Source organism: Homo sapiens, chromosome 4, assembly GCF_000001405.40.
Source record: "Homo sapiens chromosome 4, GRCh38.p14 Primary Assembly".
NCBI lineage: Eukaryota > Metazoa > Chordata > Mammalia > Primates > Hominidae > Homo > Homo sapiens.
Genome location: NC_000004.12, coordinates 72953533 through 72977947, shown reverse-complemented (window position 1 = coordinate 72977947; position 24415 = coordinate 72953533). Strand labels below are relative to the sequence as shown.

General features: G+C 37.1%; 1 long non-coding RNA gene and 1 pseudogene across 1 annotated transcript in view; both read right to left on the bottom strand.

Moving 5' to 3' along the window:
* The window catches only part of LOC105377273 (uncharacterized), a 44709-nt gene extending 20611 nt beyond the window's left edge, over positions 1-24098 (bottom strand). Inside the window, exon 1 of the long non-coding RNA XR_938873.2 lies at positions 23819-24098. This is a non-coding gene — a long non-coding RNA (uncharacterized LOC105377273). The remainder of the gene's footprint in view (positions 1-23818) is intronic.
* Positions 12645-12770, bottom strand: RNU4ATAC9P (RNA, U4atac small nuclear 9, pseudogene; annotated as a pseudogene).
* Positions 24099-24415: the final 317 nt, after the last annotated feature.

The following is a 24415-nucleotide window of genomic DNA, read 5'->3' as shown; positions in this document are numbered from 1 at the left end:
CGGATGGTGATCTTACTTTAATTGAAGGCCACAGGATAGACAGAGGCAATTAGGTACATGAACTTAGGAGTGGTCATTATTTTTCACACTGAACTGTTCCAGTGAGGAACAATCAGGAAAGAGTTCCTTGGAATCTCCCTTTACCTAATGAGCCCTCTGGAAGAAATTTGAGTCCCATGAGAATTTGAGGTTCACCTAGCAGTTTAAGAAAGGATTAGCAATTTATGTGTGCTAAGAGCCAATGGCAAAAGGAAAGTTGTTCTTGAGTTGTGGGTGGTCAAATGTCCATGGAGCTATGGAATTGTCTGAAGGCTGTATGTACAGCAATGAGGAAAAACACAAGGACATCTTCTTGGCAGACAGCTGTACTAGCCATCCAGGCAAGTGCTGAGCACTGATGAGGATGTTCAAATGTAGAGAGCAATACACTCAGAGCCCGGACATTGGGGTTCCTGTCTCTGTTCTTCCATTCGCCAGCTGGGGAATTGAGTGTAATCCCTTAGACTCTGAATCTCATTTGCTTTTTTAACGTTTCTTACCATGTGCTCTGGTTGAAGTAACTTTTCCACAGGTCTTTTCTGTTGCTTGAAGTCTCTTTTGACCAAAACTTTGTTAAAATACACATATATGTATTTGGGTATTATTAGTACTGTTATTGATATTGCTACTGGTATTGTGTAATGGTGGCAACTGTGGTGGGCACCTTAATTTGAGTGCTTTATATCTATTACTTTCCTTAATCCTCATAATGACTATATGAAGAGGTATTATCACTATTTACAGTTGGGAAACTAAACTTCAGGTAGGTTGTTAAAATATCCAAGTGGAAACAGATAGTTAAAAGGCACCTAGCCAGTGGGTAGGGCCAGTGAAAATGGGACACATAGGAATTTGAAGGATTGTAAAAGTGGGGTAAGTCTCTGAAGGGGTGTGCCAAAAGAGGCTCCCTTTTTTTTTTTTTTCTGAGATGGAGTCTCACTCTGTCACCCAGGCTGGAGTGCAGTGGCCCTATTTGTGCTCACTCCAACCTCCACCTCTGGGTTCCAGTGACTCTCCTGCCCCAGCCTCCCGAGTAGCTGGGACTACAGGCATATACCACCATGCGCAGCTAACTTTTGTATTTTTAGTACAGATGAGGTTTCACCATGTTGGCCAGGATGGTACTGATCTCTTGATCTCATGATCTGCCCACCTCGGCCTCCCAAAGTGCTGGGATTGCAGGGGTGAGCCACCGCACCCAGCCGAGGGGCTCCCTTTTTAAGGGAAGTGGCAGAGGGGTACAGAGGAGACTGCTGAGCATTTCCAAAAAAGCCCCCCCACCAAAAAACGTTAAAAAGTACAGAAAAGGAAGATGCTAGAAATAAGATTTTATTTATTGTTTAAGTTGTTTTTACCACTTTCTTCATAATTATCAAAATAACACATGCACATTAAAGAAAAATCAGGCTGTATAGAAAAATGTAAGGAACTGAAAAATATATATATAGACTTTCTACCATAATTACTTTATTATTGCATATTACCTCCTAGTTTTGGTCTGTTTAGTGATTTAATTTTTCTAAACTTGCAATCCGGTTCATAAATTATAAACATTTTTACATGTTGTTAAATGGTCTTTATCATTATCATTTTACAGGGTGACATAATTCACCATATGTATAGTAAGTCATTTCCCCATGGTTGAACATTGAGAGGCATGCACTTTTGTGGATAATTTGAACTTGATTCTTCATAAATGGTACTTTAATGCATTAAATTTAGGGGGGTGGAATATGGTTTCTAGAAACAACCATCTTGATTTTCATAGACATATAAATTTGTTAAAAATGAAAGTTACCCAATACCTATTCTACCAGCCATTTGTAGAAGATGAATATTGGAAAGTTGATAACATGAAATTAGATTTCTCTAAAAAAATTTTAAAAGGAGTGAAAAGTGCTCTTTGGATGTCAAGAAGAATCAAAGAGATATTTAAGGTGTTAATAGAGAGATTAGTGACTGTACTAATATATTTCTGTCTTCTAGATAAGAAGGCATTCACCATGTTCTATGCAAAATGGAGCCAGAATTTCAAGTAGAAATGCAATAACTTTAAGAAAACTTTTCTTGGCATTATATGCTTACACACGTACTTTTATATTCTACAAGGTTGAAAAAAAGTTAAAATTCTGAAGTATTGAGGCCACAGCTATGTAAAAAAATTAAGGTTTTAAACCAGATTTGTGAGGAAAAGAAAATATGTGTTATGGTATGTTAAATGCTATACAAAAAAAAAGTGCTATACAGCACTTTTTCATGCTGGCAAATGTTCTACTTCTGCCAATATGAACAATTGTTTTTGCTGGCAAGAACAGTTTAAATACAAACAGAAGCAAGCCACCATTTCTTAACACAGTGAAGTTGAACATTTCAAACATTTAATGGAAATTATTTACACAGTCATTTCATTGTTATTTAAAGGAAATAGTAGGAATTCCATGAAAACTTGTGTTTATGACAAAAGTAAATTGCTAAATTAAATTGTAAGGGTATTTTTAAGTTAGAAGTATAATAAATAGGAGATGAGTTAGAAAGAAACAAATATATCTACTTATGAAATATTATTATTGTTAGCTTTAACCTTCTCTGACCCTCAAGGACTAGGTAAGAGTCTGGAAAAGACAGGGCGAGTCATCTACCAAATATGTATTCACTTTTTCTTGTTTGAGAGACCGAATTCTTCTCAGTGCATCCATGGGCCCAGCTGAAGTACTTCTCCAGACCAGACTTGCTTGCAGTTAGGAGTAACTACATGACATTTTCAGCTGATAAAATAATTGAGAAAAAAAAAAATCCTGCCAGATTCTACTCCTTTACGCTTTCTTCCTTCTTGTTCTTGCTTGAAAAAAAGATAGTGAGGTTGAATGTAATAGTCCACTTGAGACCGTCCCACAGCTAAGATGAGAGGTTAAGTCCCATAATAAGAATGATAGAGTGACAAGGAAATAGATCGTGCGCCACTGCTGACACCATGACCCCACTGCACAGCTTTTCTCTGCACTTCCTTTTTATGGAAGGCAAATTATGCGAGGCTGTTTGGTTAAGCCGCTGTCATCAGATATCTGTTACATACAGTACACATAAATCCTAAATGGTGCAGAGCCCTTGACATGTCCTCATTTTGAATTCTGTACTTTATTTATGAGCTAGCCATTATGGTAATGATGTGCTTAGTGATTTTCTCCCTACAATCCTTTGAGCTATTAATTATATGAATGAATTAACATTTGTAATGCATTCTCTCTTTCTCATTATTGTATTTAATGACTAATAAGTTGTCTGACAATTGTGCACGTTTAATAAATATATATTTCTAGGTAACTGGAGAGTTGTTTTGACTCCAAAGTGTTACACACACACACACACACACACACACACACACCCCACACACACACAGACAGAGACACACCACACACATACACACATTTCTTTATATAATTGTATGTATGTGCAAACATCCTATATATTTGTAATGAATTTATAATGATGTTATGTGTTTTTAAATACTTGTTTGGTTTTAAAATACCCAGACATTAAATAATTACTACATGAGAGTAATTACCACTATTTCCTTTCTAGCTAGGATTTGTATATTGTTGTAGAAATGGACATTTATGTGTTTCAATGAACTCTACAATCTTAGGGAAACAAAAGAGAGCTGATGTGACTGAAAGGGAAATAAAGAAACTTAATGACTTTAGATTTCCTCCTGCAGGATTTTCCAGACCACCTGAACAAGCGTTTTGTAAAAGCAAAACAAAAACACACAACATTTTAAACTCAAATAACTTTGGGGAGTATAGCATGTTACACCATCTTTTTGGACCATGGGCACATTAAAGTTGCCTACAGTAGACAAATCTGTTTAACATTTTAAAATTCAGCATTCCCAGCCTTATATGATCATGAAACCCTTCTATTCAAATGAGGTCTATTAACACCCAGTGGAAATGCTGTTACATGATGCATATTCTGGTAAACCCTGCAATAGAGGGATTGGAAGCAAGAATTATCACCACTATTATTTAATGTTAATCTAAAATATCTAGTGTAATGAGATGGTAATCAGAAATAATATGTATGGCTTCTTAAAAGGAAAATAAAATTTCAGACATTTTACAGAAGACAGAAATTTGTATTTTACCATGAGAGGGAGATATTTATCTAGTTTCTTATTCTATCTCTGGCAGCCAGAGTACCTATGACTTATTTTAAATTTAAATTTATTTATTTATTTTTAGAGATGGGGTCTCATCATATTGCCCAAGCTATTCTCAGACTCCTGGCCTCAAGGAATCCTCCCACGTTGGCCTCCCAAAGCACTGAGATTACAAACGTGAGCCACTGCACCCAGCTGAGAATACCTATGTCTAAAACATAGGTACTCAATAAGTGCTTGTTGAAGGAAGGATGGTTTGATGGAAGGAAGGGAGGGAAGGAGAAAGGGAATCTCTCCTGGGAAACCAGGACTCCAGAGAAACATCCTGGACAAGCTGCCCAAGAGCCATGGTTTTATAAGCTTTCTGGAGACTTTGACATGCTTCATAAATTGCTTTTTCTCCAAATTCTCATTATTTGAACTTTTGTTTTTTTACTCTGATAGAAAATATGTGTATTTGATAGCTACTAATCAGAATCCTTATCAACATAGTACTCTAAGCAACTACTACCAATTAATTGTGGTAGGTGAGAGAGCTAAAACCTGATTGCCATCTCTAACATAAGCCTCTATCCTTTTCTCCTGGTCAAATAACTTAGGCTTATTTCATAATCACTAGCCTCATGTCTGTAGCATTATCTGAAGACAAATTATCTGCTTTTTAAAACAATCTCAAATACTGTTGTGATGATTTTTAAATGCCCCCAAATTATTTGACATTCTTCCCTTCAGTAGGTGGAAGATAATTCTCCTTACCTTGAGTGTGGGCTGGAGTAGGCTTAATGAATTTCTTCTAATGAAAATAATATAATGAAAGTGACAACATGAGACTTTGAAGATGATATAAAAGGCACTGTGGCTTACTGCTTACTCTGTCTCTCTGTCTCGTAATTCACTGTGGAAGAAGCTAGCAGCCATGCAGGACAAGCCCATGTGGCAAGCACCTGATGCCTCCTGCTAGCTTCCACGTGAATGATCAATCTGGAAGTTGCTTCTCCAGCCCCAGTCAACCCTTCACATGAGACTTTATCCCATGCCAACATCCTAACTGCAACTTTATGAGAGAATCTGAGCCAGGGCCACCCAAATAAGCCACTCTTGAATTCTTGACTCACAGAAACTGAATAATACACTTTTATTGTTTTAAACCACTAAGTTTTGGGGTAATTTTCAATGCATAAATGGATAAACAATGCTACTATATTAAAGGCTTTTAAACAAATACAGCTCATTTGCAACCCCTTTCAAAGCCCACCCCCTTTTCCAATCAATTTTACCACTTTGGTATGGCTGAGTTAGCTAGTTGTCCAGCAATACCTGATTTATTCTTTCCTCCAAAGTGAAGTCGGAAAAATGTTTTAAATAAAGGGCCAAATAATAAACATTTTAGGCTTTGTGGGCCATATGATGTCTGTCACAACTATTCAACTCTGCCATTGTAGCACAAAAGCAGCCATAGACAACATGTAAATGGACCATGGCTCCCTTCTAATAAAAATTTACGGTAGTCCCTCTGATCTGAAGGGGAGACATTCCAAGAGCCCCAAGCGTGTCTGAAACCATAGATAGTATTAACCCTATAAACACTATATTTTTATCCTATACATACCTATGATAAGATTTAATTTATAAATTAGACACAGTAAAAGATGAACAATAACTAAAAATAGAATAATTATAACAATATACTCTTCACAATTTCATCAATAGAAGGCCCATTCTTACTGTAGATCTTAGCACCGTCAGCATACAATTTGTTTTCTTTCCTGAGTCCAGAGCTTTTACCTTTTCATGTAAAGGAAGCACTTTACAGCTGATCTTTGGCACATCTGAATTGCCGGTATCACTACTCTTGTGCTTTGGGGCCATTACTAAGTAAAATAAGGATTACTTGAACAAAAGCACTGGGATACCACAAAATGGCCAGTTGATCTGATAACTGAGATGGCTACTAAGTGACTAATGAGTAATGTAGCATCTACAGTGCAGATACACTGGACAAAGGGATGATTCACATCCTGGGCAGGATGAAGCAGGGCAGCACAAGATTTCATCCTACTACTCAGTACAGCACACAATATAAAACTCACAAATTGCTTACTTCTGGAATTTTTTATTTAATATTTTCCCAGCACGGTTGAACGTAGGGTAACTGAAACCATGGAAGCAGAAACTGTGGATGAGTGGGTACTACTGTATTTATGGACACTGAAATTTGAGTTTCACATAATTTTCACATCACAAAATATTATTATTCTTTTGATTTTCTTTTAACCACTTAAAAATGTAAAAACTATTCTTAGCTTGCAGCTCACTTAAAACCAGATTTGGCTCATGGATATAGCTTGCCAATTCTTATGCTAAATCAATAGATTTCTTGATATTTAGCTGGCACATGGATGCCCAAAATAAAGAATATTTTTTCAGACTATGGCCACATGACCTTGTTATGGTTGGTGGAATGTAGGTGGGAATGATACGTGCAAATTTTCTTACAAGGAAGTGGTGAACTCTCCCTTTTTTTTTTCCTTTTTTCTACTTCTCTTGGCTGAAATGAAGATCATCTTAGACCATGCAGATGACAGAGATGTCCTTGGGATGGTGAAACAGATAGAAACAGCCAGAATTCTTGGCTCTGCATGGTGCGCAGTCATACCGTTATGAGAGTGAGAAAGAAACTAGTCTTTCCTCTGTTTTTAGGTCCTTTTCACACATTAACAAATCTATATTCTAACTAGTTCAACTGGTGAGTCTTTGGCTAACATCTCTTCTGAATGTCATGACAAGTCAATGTGTTGTAATTTCAAGAAGTGCTGTAGACAGTGATTAACAGCTTTGTGTAAAGTTAAAAAAATGATTCTTGGTTACTAGCCAGGTCAGGATAGTTTGAGTATAGGACAGCTTTAACATTTTCTAAAAACCAGAATTTCTAAAAAGTTGCAGGTATTTGCCTTTTCTTCTGAGTGTTGATTTCATTGGACTTGGAAGTGAACAAATGTGCCTTTTATTCCTTTTCTCCCATCACCATCACACTTACGACCAATGAAGGAAGAATATTAATTTGGAGAAACATAAATAAGCCACTTCTTATAATCTTTGAGGAAGAATTAATTCACATTGTCCTTTGGGGAGCTTATTTATATACATGAAAGGGTTTAAAAATCCACGCCCCCGCCTCTCCAAATATCTCATGGTCCTATGGGTGTTCATATTCATATGATAACAGAAAGAAATTGTAGTCATAATTGGCATATTTATCTTGTAAGTATTTCATATTTTCCACAGTAGAACTTGGGGGTCCCAGACTGTGTACAACAATGAGAAAAGATCCCACAGCCTCAAAATCTGAAAACCACTATGAGATTCATCAACCATCACTTGGCAGCCTCAGAGCACCAGGCATTGTCCAAACACGATTGTTTGAGTTTTTGTGCTGACACAAAGTGTTTCCCATTCATCTCTCTCCCCCTTTCTCTCCCTCTTTCTCTCCCTGCCAAAAACTCAACTTTCTTTAAGTAGGCACAGCCTTCCAAGTCCTGGCTGTTAGTGTCCCTGAGAGGTTTCAGGGAGAAGCAGTCTTGGCTGAGAGTTAGAGCTAGAGGCCAGCCAGTGAAGGGAACAATGTCTGGGTTTTGAGAACAGCTGGAGCTTTGGAGGGAGAAAAGCAGCTTGGTGAATGAGGAAAGAATGTGCTTGTCACTTCAAGAGGCAAGAAACATAGACTTCCCTCCTGCTTCTGCCAATAAGTGTTTATTGGAAAGGGCAGAGTGGTGGTGATGGCAGGTGACTTTTGGTTTGGATTTTTATGGAATTTTTCAGTTTATTTTACCTTTTCAAAGAGCAGATAAATGTACAAGTCCCACACCATAAGTATTTTCAATTCTGCTCATGTTTTTATTGGATACAAATGTTGTTCCTCAGAGTTATTTTTAAGAATGCCACCCCTGGCCTATTTTGAAACTCTGCTTGCTTTCCTTGCATGTAAGTTAATATTTGTTATAGGGATTTTGGAGAAAAGTATCAGAGGGTATTAAATGGAAAGCAAAGGCCTTAGGGGGAAAGGATCCTATTCTGAGAGCATGAGCTGAATTTACAGTTAGGAAGAATTGGGATGGCCTACTTAGACAAAATAAGGATGTTTTAGCTGAAACCAAAGGTAAACCTATGAAAATTCTGACAAAGTAGGTCAAAAAAGTTTATAAGATGTCACATTTCTTAGTCATGTTTTGATTTCTCTCTGATTTTCCTGGATTCTTATGGCAATAGACAGAATAACAGAGACGATATTCCCTTTCTGAATTCTATTTGCTAGACTTGGAAAGTATGACCTGATTTGAAGTGTCACTTATAAAATGAACAGAAAGATCAATATTAGTACTCAAGTAATAATAGCTGTTACCATTTTAAGACCTCTTTCCTTTCTCTCTTTCTTGACTCTCAACATTTTTGCCTGTTTCAGGATTGGAACAAACATTCTTGAGATCCAGCTGTGTGACAGGTCATGTACTAGATCCTTTCCTTGTAAGAACCTGTCAAAAAGGAATTATTACACCCATTTTCAATATGGAAGACTTGGGCTCAGTGAAGATCTTCATAAATTGTCTAGTATTCCCTGATATCCTATTAAATGGTAATTTTAACATCAATGAATCCTGATTTAAACATGATTTGGATTCCAAAGGCCATGCTATTTCTAATGCCCCATTTTGTCTATACAATAAAATATGGGTTGATTGTGTTCAAATTAAATAATCATTAAACATTGGTTGATCAGAAGAAACTTGTATATATTATTTAGTACTACTCTTTTGTTAGTATCTTGTGATTTTTTTAGTAATGGGACTTTAATGCAAGGATGCAATGGACCACAAAACCTTCAACTATCTAGTCACTTTGGGCTTCCAAATTTCCAAGACTGAAATTGATATTTCTGGAGAAAAAATAATTCATTTTTTTTTTAAAGATGAGTCTTGCTCTGTCGTCAGGCTGGAGTGCAGTGGCCCAATCTCGGCTCACTGCAACCTCCGCCTCCTGGGTTCAAGTGATTCTCCTGCCTCAGCCTCCCGAGTAGCTGGGATTACAGGTGGGTGCCACAATGCCCAGCTAAGTTTTGTATTTTTTAGTAGAGATGGGGTTTCACCATGTTGGCCAGGATGGTATCGATCTCTTGACCTTGTGATCCGCCTGCCTTGGCCTCCCAAAGTGCTGGGATTACAGGGGTGAGCCACTGCGCCCAGCCACAATTCATTTTTTGAGTGTCTACTTTGTGTTAATTACGGTGAGAATATTAAGAATGCATTTTAGGAATTGACAAAATTCTCAGGTCTCAGAGATCATCATTTTTCTTTGCTATATTTACTAATTCATTAAAGTCAACACAAATACTTCTTAAGGAGTGACTAAATCATTAAATAAATGTAAAAGGTTTTCTTATAATCCAGAATACTTAATCAGGATTCCTACTCCCATAAGCAATTTGGGTAATCAATATTTTCCTTTGTGAATTTCAGATGAAGAGTCATTTGTACTGTAATATAGAAGTTTCAATGGACTAATATTTGACAAAAATACTGACCTATTTCTCAGAAGGATCAAATAAATGGAAGCTTTATTTTACAACTACTTTTAAAAATAAGATACATGTAGAACCAATGCTGTGAGTATAATACAACCTTGTTATTGTCACCAGCATGCTACTTGTAGGGCAAAGTGGATCAGAAGAATTGTCTGGGGTGATACAAATCTACAGGTCCCAAATTGCTGTTGCCTTTATTGCCAACATTGAATATGTCTTTATAAACATACTTTTATGTGTCTAAAATGGAAAAACCTATTTACAGATATACTCAGATATTTTAGTGATTCATTAAATAAGTTATTGAATGAAAGAATATTTATTAAGAGGTCATTTTTTTAATAGATTTCCTAGTTTGGGCATGTTATTCCTAATATTTTAAAGATTCATAAATTTAACATTAAAGAACAACTAGATAGAAACACTGTCTGGGTATATCAGCTTGTCAACATACCAAGTCAGGGCTTATTTAAGACCCTGGGCTGTCACAGAAAATGGTCTGGCCCTCACTTTTTGGCCTAGAAACTTAGTTTTGTTAGTGCTTGAATTTGTCCAGCATCAGGAAGACTAAACAAAGCGTGGCAGACCAATAAAAGCTTTATGTGTAGCAATTTAGCAGAGAAATTAACCACACACGTGGCTGGAGACAGTCTGGTGAAGTTCTGGTTTTCCATTTTACTAGATCTTGACCTTGGTCAAGTTATCTGAACTCTGTGAGTCTCAGTGTCATTATCTGAAAAATTAGGATAGTAATAGTACCTCATAGGGAACTGTGAAGCTTAAATGAAATGATGCTTTTCAAGCACTTAGCCCAATTCCTGGCAATACTAACAGCTCAGTAAACATTAGATGTTACAGTTATTGTTTATGCTAATGTTACTTTTGTGGTTCTTCTTCTTATCATTAGTATTTTTATTATATAAACCCAAAAGTTAATATATAAATTTATAATTGAACATGGTATAATGCGTGGAATGCTTGTGTAACTTCTCAAGGCTACTTCATTTCTTAGTTTAAACATAATTTGGATATAGAACCAGTAATTAGAAAGCTGTCTGGGATAGAGACAGTGGCTCATATAATCCCAGCACTTTGGGGGGCCTTGATGGGAGAATTGCTTGAGTCCAGGAGTTCAAGACCAGCCTGGGAAACATGGCAAGACCCCATCTCCACAAAAATTACAAAAAAAGAAATCAGTCAGGTGTGGTGGCTCATGTCCATGGTCCCAGCTACTCAGGAGGCTGAGGCAGGAGGACTGCTTGAGCCCATGAGGTCGAAGCTGCAGTGAGTCATGTTTGTGCCACTGTGCTCCAGCCTAGGTGACAGAGCAGGACTCTGTCTCAAAAAGAAAACCAAAACCAAAAGCAAACCAAAATGAAACAACAACAACAAAGAAAGCTGTCTGGTTAATGAGGACAAAAGATTGGTTTACAGACAAGCATCTTTTAAAATTTTGCTTTTAGCTAGAATAAACTCATCTTAATATAGTAACCTCTGATTATCTTTGGTGATAGAATGCTGATTGGCCAGTATATTTATCTTTAATTCTTTCTATTGAGGTGAAATTCACATAAAATAAAATTAATCATTTTATAGCATTCAATTCATTGACAGTGCATTCACAACGTTGTACAATCACTTTCCGTATCTAGTTACAAAACCTTTTCATCACCTGAAATGAAACCCCATTCCCATTTAGCAGTCACTCTCAATTTCCTGCTCCCATTAGCCTCTGGCAAATACCATTCTGCTTTCTGTCTTTATGAATTTACCTATTATGGATATTTCATGAAGATAGACTCATGCAATATGTGACCTTTTATGTCTGGCTTTTTTTTCACATGGAATAATATTTTCAGGGCTCATCCACATTATAGCATGTATCAGTATGTCATTTCTTTTTACGGATAATATTCCATTGTATGCATATATCACATTTAAAAAATCCATTAATCTCTTGATGATCTTTGACTAATTTTTTTAATGGAAAATTACTTAATAAATATAGTCCATAGACAAATACTTCCTTTTTCAAAAATAAATTATTTTATATTAGATTCAGGACGCACATGTGCATGTTTATTGCATAGGTATATTGCATAATCATGGGGATTGGGCTTCGAGTGTACCTATTATCCAAATCGTGAAACATTGTACCCAATAGGTAATTTTTCAGCCCTTGCCCTTTCTCTCACCGCCCCCACCCCTTTTGGAATCCCCAGTGTTTATTATTTCCATCTTTATGTCCATGTGTACCCACTGCTTAGCTTCCACTTATAAGTGAGAACATGTGGTGTTTTATTTTCTGGTTCTAAGTTAGTTCACTTAGGATAATGGCCTCCACCCCCATCTATGTTGCTGCCAATGACATGAGTTCATTCTTTTTTATGGCTGGATGGTACTAGTTTTATAGAATGACTTAGAAAAAAATTGTTCCTGCTAGACTTTTTGGAATAGTTTCAGTGAGACTAGTACCAGCTCTTCTTTGTATGTCTGGTATTACATGGTGTATATGTACCACATTTTCTTTATCCAGTCAACTGTTGATGTACACTTAGGTTAGTTCCATGACTTTGCTATTGTGAATAGTGCCGTGATGAACATACAAATACAGGTGTCTTTTTTACGTAACGATTTTTTTTTCCTTTGGGTAGATGCTCAGTAGTGGGATTGCTGGATCAAATGTTAGTTCTATTTTTAGTTCTTTAATAAATCTCCATACTGTTTTCCATAGAGGTTGAACTAATTTACATTGTCACCAAGAGTGTATAAGTTTTCCCTTTTCTTTTTTCTGACTTTTATTATTATTATCATTACATTTTTTAAAAGATACAAAATTGATTACTTTTCTTATTTTTAGCAGGTTTTCATTTTTCCAAAAATTGCACCAAGGTAAAGCAAAGCTCTAGTTGATGCAGGTGTGTTGTGTACGCATTAGTAGTACTGCCCTCACTATGCACTGATTGGAAAGTAGTGCAATCCCAAGAAAAGGATGGTGTATTTGGCCATTTTCATGCTGCTGATAAAGACATACCTGAGACTGGGTAATTTACTGAAGAAAGACGTCTATTGGACTTACAGTTCCACATGGCTGGGGAGGCCTCACAATCATGGCTGAAGGCAAGGAGAGCAAGTCACATCTTACATGGATGACAGCAGGCAAAAAGAGAGAGTATGTGCAGGGGAACTCCTCTTGTTAAAACCATCAGATCTCGTGAGACTTATTCGCTATCATGAGAACAGCATGAGAAAGACCTGGCCCCATGATTCAATTACCTCCCACTGGTTCCCTCTCACAACACGTGGGAATTCAAGATGAGATTTGGGTAGGGGCACAGCCAAACCATATCAATGGTTCCTTTTTGACTTTTTAATAATAGCTATTCTAATTTGTGTAAAGAGATCTCATTGTGGTTTTAATTTGCATTTCTTTGATGACTAGTGATGTCAAGCAATATTTCCTATGTTTTTTGACCACTTGTATTTCTTCTTTTGAGAAATGCCTGATCATGTCCTTTGCCCACTCCTTAATGGGGTTGTTTTTTTCTTTGTTTGACTCCTTTGTAGATTCTGGATATTGGTCTTTGTCAGAGGTATAATTTGCATTTTATTTTTTCCCATTTGGTAGGTTGTTTACTCTTGATGATTTCTTTTGCTGAGCAGAGGTTTTTCTTTTTCTTTCTTTCTTTTTTTTTTGTATACTTAATTCCCATTTGACTATCTTTTGCTGTGCAGATTTTTTAAAAATTAAATTCCATTTGTCTATTTTTGATTTTGTTGCATTTGCTTTGGGCATCTTCAACATAAATTCTTTGCCTAGGCCAACGTCCAGAAGAGGATTTCCTAGGTTTTCTTCCAGGATTTTTATAGTTTCAGGTCTTACATTTAAGTCTGTAATCCACCTTGAGTTAATTTTTGTATATGGTGAGAGATGGGGTCCAGTTTTGTTTTTCTGCATATGAATTGCCAATTTTCCCAGCACCGCTTATTGAATAGGATGTCCTTTCCCCATTATTTACTTTTGTAGACTTTATTGAAGATAGTTGGTTGTAGGTATGTGTCTTTATTTCTGGGTTCCCTATTCTGTTACATTGATCTATGTGTCTATTTTTGTATCAGTACCAGGCTGTTTTTGTTACTATAGCCTTGCAGTATAATTTGAAGTCAGGCAATGTGGCATTTTTTTCTCCAGATTTGTTCTTTTTGCTTAGGATTGCTTTGGCTATCCTAAGTCCATATGAACTTTAGAATTATTTTTTTCTAATTATGGGAAAAATAAAGTTGGTAATTTGATAGAAATTACATTCAATATATAGATTGTTTTGGGCTGTATGGTCATTTTAACAATACTGATTCTTCCAGTCCATGATCATAGAATGTTTTCCATTTGTTTGTGTCATCTATGCTTTCTTTCATCCGCATTTTGTAGTTCTCCTTATAGGGATCTTTCATCTCCTTGGCTAAATACATTCTTAGGCATTTTATTTTTGGCTATTGTAAATGGGATTGAGATCTTGATTTGGTTCTCAGTTTACATGTTATGGGTATACAGAAATGCTACTGATTTTTGTATGTTGATCTTTTATCCTGAAATTGTTTTTTTTTTTTAATTTTGAGATGGAGTCTCGCTCTGTTGCCCAGGCTGGAGTGCAGTGGCACAATCTCAGCTCACTGCAAGCTCTACCTCCCAGGTTCATGCCATTCTCCTGCCTCAGCCTCCTGAGTAGCTGGGACTACAGGTGCCCACCACCACGCCCGGCTAATTTTTTGTATTTTTAGTAGAGACGGGGTTTCACTGTGTTATCCAGGATGGTCTCGATCTCCTGACCTCTTGATCTACCCGCCTTGGCCTCCTAAAGTGCTGGGATTACAGGCATGAGCCACTGTGCCCAGCCTATCCTGAAATTTTACTTGTTTATCAAGTTTAAGAGTCTTTTGGAAGAGTATTTAAGCGTTTCCAGGTATATAATCATGTCATTGGTGAACAGAAATAATTTGACTTCCTCTTTTCCAATTTGGATATCTTTTATTTCTTTCTCTTGCATGATTGCTCTTCTAGGACTTCCAGTACTATTCCAGTTGAATAGGAGTGGTGAGGGTGAACATCCTTGTCTTGTTCTAGTTCTTAGGGGGAATGCTTTCAGCTTTTCCTCATTCAGCATGATGTTGGTAGTGGGTTTGTCATACGACTCATTATTTTGAGGTATGTTCCTTCAATGCCTAATTTGTTGAGAATTTCCATCAAGAAGGGATGTTTGATTTTTATCTAATGCTTCTTCTGCATCTACTGAGATGATCATATGGTTTTAGTTTTTAGTTCCGTTTATGTACTGAATCATGTTTATTGATTTGCATATGTTCAACCATCCTTGCATTCTAGGAATAAAGCCCACTTGATTGTGGCAACTTAACTTTTTGATGTGCTTGTGGATTCAGTTTGCTAGTATTTCATTGAGGATTTTTGTGTCTATGTTCATCAGGGATATTGGCCTGTAGTTTTCTTTTGTTGTTGTGTCTTTGCAAGATTTTGGTATCAGGATGATACTAGTTTTGTAGAATGAGTTAGGAAAGAATCCCTCCTGCTAGAGTTTTTTGGAATAGTTTCAGTGAGACTAGTACCAGCTCTTCTTTGTTATGTCTGGTGAAATTTGGCTGTGAATTTGTCTAGTTCTGGCTCTTTATTTTTGTTTTTGGAAGTTTTTTTGTTACTGATTTGATTTCATTAAGTGTTATTGGTATGTTCAGGATTTCTGTTTCTTTCTGGTTCAATCTTGGGAGATTGTAGTTTTCCAGGAATTTATCCATTTCCTTTAGGTTTTCTAGTTTGTGCACATAGAGGTGCTCATAGTAGCCTCTGATCTTATCTCTGTGATATCAGTTGTAATGTTACCTTTATAATTTCTGATTGTACTTATTTGAATCTTCTTTTTTTTTTTGTTAATCTACCTTGTGGTCTATCAATCTCGTTTATCTTTCACATAACTAATGTTTTGTTTTTTTGACCTTTTGTATTATTTTCTTGTTGTCAGTCTCATTTAGTTCTGCTCTGATCTTTGTTAATTCTTTTTTTCTGCTAGTTTTGCCTTTGGCTTATTCTTGTTTTCCTAGTTCCTTGAGGTGTGACATTAGGTTGTTAATTTGAGATCTATCTTTTTGATGTAGGCATTTAATGTTATTAACATTTGTCTTAGCACTGCTTTTGCTGTATCACAGAGGTTTTGGTATGTTGTGTTTGTCTCTATTTTCATTTGTTTTGAAACATTTTTTGATTTCTGCCTCAATTTTGTTATTTGTCCAACGGTCATTCAGGAGCAAGTTGTTGAGTTTCCATGTCTTGTTTAGTTTTGAGAGTTCTGCTTGGTATTGATATCCAATTTTATTCAGTGTGGTCTGAGAAAATACTTGATATGACCTCAATTTTTTTGACTCTTTCGAGTCTTGCTTTATGGCTAAGTGTATGGTCAATTGGAGAATGTTCCATGCATGGATGAGAAGAACGTATATTCTGTGGTTGTTGGATAGAATGAATGTTCTATAAATGTCTATTACGTTTGTTTTTTCTATAGTCCAGTTTAAATCCAGAGTTTCTTTGTTGAGTTTCTATCCCAGTATCTATTTAGTGATGTCAGTGAGGTGTTAAAGTCCCCACTTATTGTATTGCTATCAATCTGTTTTCTTAGGTCTAGTAGTATTTGTTTTATGAATCTGGGTGTTCCGGTGTTGGGTGCACATATATTTAGAATAGTTACATCTTCTTTGTGTATTTAACCCTTTGTTATTATATAATGACCCTCTTTGTCTTTTTTTATTGTTGTTGGCTTAAAGTTTGTTTCATCTTATATAAGGATGGCTACTCCTGCTTGCTTTTGTTTTCCATTTTCATAATATATATTTTTCCACTTCTTTACTTTGAGTCTATAGCTGCCTTTAGCTAGTAGGTGGGTCTCTTGTAGTAGCAGTTGGTTGGGTCTTGTTCCTCACACTGTCCCCCCACCCCGCCCAATTTGCCGCTCTATATCTTTTAAGTAGAGCATGTAGGCCACTTAGATTCAAGGTTAATATTAATATGTGAGGTTTTGTTCCTGTCATAGTGTTATTAGCTGGTTGCCTTAGAGTTTCAATTATGTAATTGTTTTATAGGATCTGTGAACTCTGTACCTATGTGTCCTCTTATAATGGTGAGTATTGTCCTTTTCTTTCCATTTTAGAACTCCTGTGAGCATTTCTTGTAGGACTGGTCTAGTGGTGATGAATTCCCTTAGCATTTGTTTGGGAAAGATTTTACTTCACCTTTATTTATGAACCTTAGTTTGGCAGAATACAAAATTCTTGACTGACATTTTCTTTTTCTTTAAGGAGGCTAAAAATAGACTCGCAATCTTTTCTGACCTGAAGGTTTTTTCTGAGAAGTCCACCGTTAGTCTGATGGGATTTCCTTTGTGGGTAATTAGACAATTCTCTCTTGACACTTAGGATTTTTTCTTTTACATTGAATTTGGATAGTCTGATGACTAAATGCTTTGGTGAGGTTGTCTGGCAATGTATCTTTCAGGAGTTCTCTGAGCTTCTTGTACCTTGATGTCTAAATCCCTCTCAAGACCAAGGAAGTTTTCCTGATTTATTTCCTCAAATAAGATTTCTGTACTTTTCACTTTTTCATCTTCTTCCATTGGAACAAGTATAACTCACAGGTTTGGACACTTTATGTAACCTCATATTTTGCAAAGCCTTTGTTCATTAAAAAGTTTTTCTTAATTTATTTTTATCTGACTGGGTTAATTTGAAATACCTGTTTTCCAACTTTGAAAATCTTTCTTACACTTAGCCTAGTCTACTGTTATAGATTTCAGCTATATTTTGCATTTCTTTCAATGAATTTTTCATTTCCAGAAGTTCTGTTTGGTTTTTGAAAAATGATATGTCTCCTTTCATATCCTGAATTTTTTTGTTTTCTTTGTGTTGGTTTTCAACTTTTTCTTGAATATAATAGAGCTTTTTTAAAATCACTAATTTAAAATTATTTAGTATTTCAAATATTTCGTATTAGTTAGGATCCATTGCTAGAGCATGAGTGTGATCCTTTGGGGGTGGTTTTCTATCTGTCTATTCATACTTTCAGGTTGAGTATGAATTTTAATAAACCAGTATGTTTTTCTGGTTTATTGTCGTCTGGGTAAGCTATCTCTCTTTCTTATGTTTTGAATTTGCTTTCATTTGGATGAGGTTTTCCTCCCCTTGAGGAGGTGTCTATAATGTATGTTGTGTAGAGTCCTTTGGCTTTGGTTCTAGGTTCTTTCAGTGAACAGTATGTATAAGTTCCTTGATTGTAGATAGCATTTTTGGTGGCTTTCCCACATGCTGGTTGTAGTAGTGATGTACTGGCCATGTGAGTAGGCTCACTGCCTCCTGTGGGGCCAGAATGCAGAGGTGTCAGGAAACTTAGTCCAGTGCTGTGTACTTCTGTCAGCAGATTTTCTATTGTGCTGTGCAGTTTAATCTCCAGTCAGCGGATGGTGCTTATGGATAAGAGCTGGCTGCAGCCTACACAGTTGGGTATATACTTGATCCTTGTTTACTGGGAGAAGCTGTCTCTTGCTTCAGGCAATGTACTGTACTGATTTTTATCAGTAGAATGCCATCAATGGGACTGCTTGCCCGTCTTCTCCTCTGCAGGATCTGGGGCATGCTTCTCTATTCCAGTGGATTCCTGTTTTCCCTCTTGAATTAAAGCTAACAGAGTTGATCTTTACACACTATTTTGCTATTTCCGATTGACTGAGGCATGCTAAATGTCTGTAAATCATCATCTCAAAAAAAAATGGCAAATACTTTCAACATGGGATTTATAAGGGAAAATGTTAGGACCGTTAGACCTAAAATCTACATTTATCTAGCTACCACTGCATCTCCAATGACAAGCACAGAATGTGTCAGTCACATAGTCAGCACTCAATAGATATTTATTATATGAATGAATGAATAAATCGCTGTAAAATGATACTACAAATTTACCTAAAGATGGAATCAGTGCTCTTCACTGCACAAAACCAACTTAAAGGCAGAGGGCAAGAGATCCCACTGATAGAGTCCACATAGGTCAGCCCCTAAAGGCACAGAGCAAGATGGAGAAGGTGGATCTAGAGGGGAGAACAGACAAAGCCAACAAATGCACCAAGAGTCACTGAAGTCATGAGGAGGCAAGTGAGTAGTTGCATCTCTTATCTTATTCAGGGCCACATAAGAATGAGTGTTAAGTACCATAAACATATGCCCCATACTTTTACTCTCTCACCTGTTGAACTCACATTGTGGTTATACTTTAGGGAGTTAAAATGTCATATCAAAAACAATGATTTTGATTAGTGTACAGTTACATTTTTGGAAACAGCTGACATTTAAGACCTACAGAGTGACAATAATGTTAAACTTTAAGAAAAGTTGAAATTTGCCACACTGTGTATGTCAGATGCCCTAGATCAAATGGCAAAGAAGCAAAGTGAAATTAAAAACGTTGCCAGTTTAAGGAGCTGGGGAAATATGCTGTGCTGAAAGAACCCACCACACATTTGTAAACATAAGTCAACTTTAAGACATAGTTTTTCTTGGACATAATGGTTGAAGAATGAATTTTCTTTGTTAGCCTGTTTTATGAGCATAATCAGAATACATTCATCACCTAAAGCAACACTTCATTATTTGGAGGATTATAATGACTTTTCTCTGCTTCAGAATTGCTTGATGTTGCACATGCTGTAATTTTTAAGCAGGGAATAAATTTAATAATAATTTTATTTGGCTAGCTTGATTCAATATTTAAAAATAAATGCTTATGCTTATGGATAATTTTTGAACAATAGATTTGTGATTTATGGACTTGCCAGGAACTAGATGAAGTTTGTATACATAGAACTTTGACATATTTTATTGAGGAATATACAAAATTAAGAAGTTGGCAGAGAGAAGCATACACGAGTAAAGACAGGGCAACAAGAAAGATATATGAGAAATAGGCTGGGTGTGGTGGCTCACACCTGTAATCCCAGCACTTTGGGAGACCGAGGTGGGCGGATCACCTGAAGTCAGGAGTTCAAGACCAACCTGACCAACATGGAGAAACCCTGTCTCTACTAAAAATACAAAAATTAGCTGGGCGTGGTGGCACATGCCTGTAATCCCAGCTACTCAGGAGGCTGAGGCAGGAGAATCACTTGAGCCTGGGAGGCAGAGGTTGCAGTGAGCTGAGATCATACCATTGCACTCCAGTCTGGGCAACAAGAGCGAAACTCCATCTCAAAAAAAAAAAAAAGAAAAAAAAGAAAGAAAGATATAAGAGAAATAGATAAAGAAATGGATAGCTTCAAGAAAAGGGTATTTGAAGAATTATGTGGACAACACTGAGTAACTGGGTCTTTCTCTTTATTGAGGGCATGCAAAAATGAACTTAATAAATGTAAGTTAAGGTTGTGCATATTGGATTCAAAAAGACAGGTTACAGTATCCTTAATAGCTCCAAACACTTAATAGCAGTAGATAACTTCGGGCAGATTTCTTCATTCATCTGACCTTCAGTTTTCTCATATGAAGAATACAGATAATAGAAGTAATTACCTCATGAGGTGGTTGGGAGGATTAAATGAGCTCAGCTTTGCACTCTGATGCACAGTAAATGTCCAACAAATATAAGTTATTTTTGTTGTTTGAAGTCAAGGACATTTAAATATTGGAGTAGATCATCAAAAAAGTAGATTTTTCCCTTCCTGCCTTGAGACCACTGGGACTGTGACAGGATCACCCCTGCATGTAAATGATATTTTTCTTCAGATGATCCATTTATGTATATTTCTAGCCCACAATCCTAGAAGTAAAGTATAAATAAGGAGCAGCTATTCCAAAAATCCTTTTTACTCTGTCAGTGCTGGCTTGCTCTCTCTGGGAAGGGAATTTTTGCTATTCAAATTCCATGTTTGTCACTCTGCAGCAAGTTGAAATCAGAGCCTGGCTGCTGATTGGGCTACATCATGGTTTCCAATAGGGAGCCAACACCTGAGGTGTATGTTGCCCATTCCTCTCTTGAAGTGAAGGCTGGAGAAAGGCCAAGTCTGTATCTCTTTGATATTTTCTCCAAAGCCAAGTGTAGCTACTCTGTACATGCAGGTGGAAGAGCTGGGGAATGAACATTCTCCAGGAGCAGCTACCACTAATAACTATCTGGAAATTGAGGATAAATTTGTTAGCTGTTTAATCCCTTGAATGAGGAAATTCTCTTTTATAATGTTTTCCCACAGGAATCAGACCCAGTCACCCACATGGCAACTAACCCTTCATTGGCTGCCCTTTCTTTTCTCACTACCCCCCAACCACACACCCTCCCTTGTTTTGGGGATTACCTTCCAAATAAATTGCTTGCATTAAAAATCCTTGTTGCAGAATCTGCTTTTGGGGGAGCCAAACTGAGACAGGGTGTCAGTATCTAGCTTTCATGTTTTGTTTTGCTTTGTTTTTGAGAAGGAGTCTCGCTCTGTTGCCCAGGCTGGAGTGCAGTGGCACAATCTCGGCTCACTTCAAGCTCTGTCTCCCGGGTTCATGCCAATCTCCTGCCTCAGCCTCCCGAGTAGCTGGGATTACAGGTGCCCACCACCACGCCCAGCTAATTTTTTGTATTTTTAGTAGAGATGGGGTTTCACCGTGTTAGCCAGGATGGTCTCGATCTCCTGACCTTGTGATCTGCCTGCCTCAGCCTTCCAAAGTGCTGGGATTACAGGTGTGAGCCACTGCACCTGGCCTATCTTTCATGTTTTAAGGGCAATACACATCACAGTGGAGATTACAGGAGATTTGAGGCCACCGGGAAAGATAGAATTTATGGGGAAATAAGAAAGTTGAATGTCCATTTTAAGTATCAACATATCATTGAATGCTAAGTGCCAGGCACTGGGCTAAACTCTGGGGATATAAGCAATAGATCTTGTCTTGTAAAGACTCATATTCTTCTAGTAAAGAAAAACAGCAATTCATTCATTATCAAACTCCAAGGTGATCTGTAACTTAATAAAGTTGAGTGCAAAGTGCTGTGGGAATACAGACAAGAGAGGAGCTCAGAAGGCTGATAGAGGTATATTTCAAATTCACAAAATAAGTGATATTTGTGCTAAAGGATGAGCATGACTTTGTTGGAAATAGGGTGAGGAGAGCACTCTAGGCAGGGAAAACAACTTGCATAGAGGTTTGAAAATATTTGGAGTGTTTGGTTGGACAGTTGGAAGGAAGTTCATTTGGGGTGGAGAAGAGGCAGAAGATAAAGCTGAGAAAGAGGTCAGAGCCTGACTGTAAGAACTCTTGCCTCCAAAACTGTAGAACAGATGAGAAGAAGGACAAGAGCTTGATGCGTCAGAAAAAGGAAGTGCAGTGCCTCGCTTTCTTTCTTTCTTTTCTTTCTTTTTCTTTTTTTTCTTTATTCTTTTTTTTTTTTTTTTTTTTTTGAGACTCACTCTGTCTGTCTCCCAGGCTGGAGTGCAGTGGTACAATCTTGGCTCACCACAGCCTCCACCTCCCTGGTTCAAGTGATCCTCCTGCTTCAGCCTCCCGAGTAGCCAAGACTACAGGCGCCCACCACTACACCCAGCTAAGTTTTGTATCTTTAGTAGAGAAGGGGTTTCACCATGTTGGCTAGCCTGGTTTCAAACTCCTGACCTCAGGTGAGTTGCCTGCCTCGGCCTCCCAAAGTGCTGGGATTACAGGTGTGAGCCACTGCGCCTGGTCGTGCTTTCTTTTCTAAGTGTCTCCAGGGGAAGGAGAAAAGGAAGAAGAAAAGAGACTCATAAGTGAGGGTGCACATTTTCAACTACCATTCATGAGTCATTATTATGTCTTATACACTATGTGAAACCCTTTACAAACATGGTCCCATTTAACCCTCACATTAAGCCTGTGAGGTAGGACTATTGTTAGGCTCTTTTATTGATGAGAACATGAAAACTTAGAGGCTGCCTAGAAAATGTTAAGGTTTGGCGCTCACGTTTGCCTGATTCCAAAGCTCCTTAACCACTAAAGTATACTACTTTTCTTTTGGAAGAAGCAAATGTGGAGTGAACAGAAACTGCTGTGGTCATACTGCTTGGGTTGGGGGTGGCAATATGTGGAGGCCAGTGGAGGGAGAGGCCCACTTGCTGAGTTCTGCTTATTCAGGAACAACAGAATTTAGAAGAAACCACAAGGAGCAGTCATCATGTTGAAAGTCCTTTGTTTTTTGGTGAAATCTACAGAAGGTATTTTAAATATGGGAAGTTTTTGTTTTTGCTTTTGTTTCAATCAAATTTATTCTTAGCCACTACTAAATGATCCAACAGAGGAAGAGAGAATAAAAAGTTGCTTAAGCCACAGCAATGGCAATGATGGTTCCTTAGAGTGAATGGGTTTCAGCCTGTTATTCATTATTTCCTCTTGGAACCTCCATACAGCATCACTATAATTCCATAGCACTTCAAACTTCCCTTTTGCGATAGCCTTAAATAACTAAAATCCTAGCTTTCCTGCTATGCTCCCAGTATATTTGAACTATTTATTTGTTTTGAAGTTTAATATTTGTCTTCAGGACCTAATTACTTGAATGGAAAAGTTTGTCATTAAATTAACTGTTAACACTTAGGGGGAAAGTTGGGCATAGTTGGTATTACTTTTTAATTTTTTCTATAAACACCATTCTTAAATCCAGATAAGTGAAAAGTATAATTGGTATTATCCTTTGATAAATAAACAATGAAACTCCAGACATACAAATGCTTTTGAGAATTTTAAGCAGCTTGCATTTTTATGCCACACTGGAGTAGAACAGGGAGGGAGTAGAGGCAATCTGGGAAATGAGATGAAACCTTTTAAACATGTGACCAAAGTGTTAATGTAAAAGCTCTATAAATTCCAGAATAATCAATTATTAATCTTCTTCTAGGCTACTAATCTTATTTATAACAGAAATCTAATATAGTCAGCATAAAAACATTTTAAATTTTCAAATAAAACATTTCTGTAATAGATTTTAAAATACTTACATCTTTAGCTGCTACTAAAAGCTGCCATCCCAGAGTTATAGGAAGATCCGACAATATGGAGATCGGATGTTTTAAGCAGAGATTGTTTCAGGTAGTATCTTATAAGAAGCATTTAAGTCATTTGCCTGTGAGCTACTTGACCCAAGTCTTCCTTCTGGAACTGGAGCCATGCCTACTCTATAGCACAGACTTTAAATGGTCTCTGAGAAACAACCTGAAAAGTTAACTTGCTCTTCCTGGTGATGGCTGATGGTAATTCCTCTTTAGGCCGAAGAGGGAAAAAAATCTGATGCACTCATCTGAAAACTTTATTTGCTATGGGAACTTGCTTTGGCAAATGCAACTTTTAAGACCTGTTGGTTCACTCAAAGGTCAAGGAACATTTATGTAAGGGATCTTCAATAACATTCTTTCAGCTTGGCAAGCAGCAAATGCCCTGATGCCAACTTTTTTCCCCTCATTTGAGTATTAAATTTGTGTATGGCTTCATTTGACTTCCCACCAAATAGTGAAATTGTTTTCAAAATATGCAGATAACATTGTGTGAACTTAGAGACATTTATTTTACTTTTATTTCCTTTTTTAATGATTTTCTTT